The sequence below is a fragment of the Homo sapiens genome, chromosome 9 (assembly GCF_000001405.40).
Source record: "Homo sapiens chromosome 9, GRCh38.p14 Primary Assembly".
NCBI lineage: Eukaryota > Metazoa > Chordata > Mammalia > Primates > Hominidae > Homo > Homo sapiens.
The window spans coordinates 93,985,706-93,987,800 of NC_000009.12; the positions used below are offsets into that span (position 1 = coordinate 93,985,706).

Genomic DNA, 2,095 nt, shown 5'->3' on the forward strand with positions numbered 1-2,095 from the left:
ATCAGTGTAAAGACACACGAAATGTGAAAAAGCAAGGAAATACGACAGCCCCAAAAAAACACAATAAGTATCCAGCAATAGATCTTAAACAAAAAGAAATTCTTGAAATCCCAGATAAGGAATTCAAAATATTGATTTTAAAGAAGCTCAATTAGATGCAAAAGCAAATTGAAAAACCAATACAAAGAATCCAGGACAATTTATGATATGAATAAGATATCTATTTACCAAGGAGATGGATTTTTTTAAAGACACTAGATATTCTGCAACTGGAGAATTCATTGCAGGAAATACAAAATACATTTGAAAGCTTCAACAATAGATTAGGTTAAATAGAAGAAAGAATTTCAGAACTTAAAGAAACGTCTCTTGAAATAATCCAGTCAGACAAAAATAAAGAGAAAAGAATAAAAGGGAACAAAGTCTTCAAAATATTTTGGACAATATAAAGCAATAGAATTTATGAATTATTGGTATCTCCTATGGCAAATGTTAGATATAGTAACTCCAAGTTTCTCTTCAAAGAATCAGTATATCAGTATGTTCAGCTCTCTTATTCTTTGATTCTCCATTTTAAAGTTTAACTTCTTGGTTCTCTTTGCCTCCAGTTTCAGTAAACAACTTTCCCACCAGTTCTAATCAGTAGTTCACATCTGTTCCCCTGGTCACCTGCTTTGACCTGAGTCACCCCAGTCACCTGCTCCATCCTGAGTCACCCCTGGTCACCTCCTCTGACCTTAATCATCCTGAGTCCCCTGTTCTGTAACCACCCTTCCTGCCAAATTATCCACCCCGCTACTCCAGCTCGTAGCCCTGCTCTCTTTAAAACAGCCAGTCAGAATTAGCTTAGACTGTGCGGTCCAACCCTAGCCAATAGCGGAATGACACAGCAGTAGGGGCTACCTGCATCAGGAATAAGAACCTCTTCTCCTCCCTTGTCCAGGCGTGCTCTTGCCATTACTCCATCCATGAGCTGCACCCTTCAATAGAAGTAAAAATTGCCTTGTTGAAAAACTTAAATTTATGTTCGAGTGCTAAGTCTTTGCAGCACCAAGGAACAAGCATTTTGTTTCTAACACGAAGAGAGATCAAAAGGTTTAGAAAACATATTTAACAAAATAGTAGATGAAAACTTCCCAAATATGGCAAGAGATTTAGATATTCAGATATACGAGGCTCAGTAACCCCCAAATAAATATAACACAAAAATGTCTTCACCAAGGCACATTATAATCAGACAGTCTAAAACAAAGTGAAAGAGTGAATTCTAAAAACAGCAAGAGAAAAGCATCTAGTCATTACAAAGGAAACCCCATCAAACTAACAGCAGACTTCTCAGCAGAAACCTTACAGGTCAGAAGAGAATGACATAATATATTCTAAGTCCTAAAGAAAAAAAAAAAACCCATCGTCAAGAATACTACATCCAGCAAGATTAACCTTCATAAATGAAGAAGAAATAAAGTCTTTCCCAGACATGCAAATGCTGAGGGAATTCATCACCAATAGACTGGACCTACAAGAAATGCTCAAGGGAGCCCTAAACATGGAAGTGAAAAGATATTATTTACCATGATGAAAACACATGAAAGTATAAAACTGACTGGTAAAGCAATCACACAAAGGAGGAAGAGAAAATAATCAAATGGCACCACTACAGCATTCCCCCAAACCACAATGACAAACAGTAAGAGAAAAAGAAAAAAACAAAAATTTAGAAAACAATTAACAACATGACAGAAACAAAACCTCACATACCAAAAATAACCTTGAATGTAAATGAATTAAAGGCTCCACTTAAAAGACAGACTGGATGAATGGATTTTTAAAAGTGGCTCAACTATATGGTGCTTACAAGAAACCCAAAATTCACCTTATCTGTAAAGACACATATAGGTTGAAAGTAAAGGAGAAAAGATATTCCACGCAAACAGAAACCAAAAATGAGCAGCAGTAGCTATATTTACAACAGATAAAACAGCTATATTTACAACAGATAAAACAACAGATAAGTCAAAGGCAGCAAAAAAAAAAAAAAATTCTATAATGATAAAGAAATCAACTCAGCTAGGCACAGTGGCTCACGCCTGTAATC

At 35.8% G+C, this 2,095-nt stretch overlaps 1 annotated feature.

Moving 5' to 3' along the window:
• Positions 353-1,552: an enhancer, noted in NCBI's record as "CDK7 strongly-dependent group 2 enhancer chr9:96748340-96749539 (GRCh37/hg19 assembly coordinates)". NCBI's record gives its function as "activates an origin of replication core promoter dependent on BRD2, BRD4, P300/CBP, MED14 and CDK7 cofactors, with strong dependence on CDK7, by STARR-seq in HCT116 cells {active_cell/tissue: HCT116}" and the evidence as "EXISTENCE:reporter gene assay evidence [ECO:0000049][PMID:35650434]".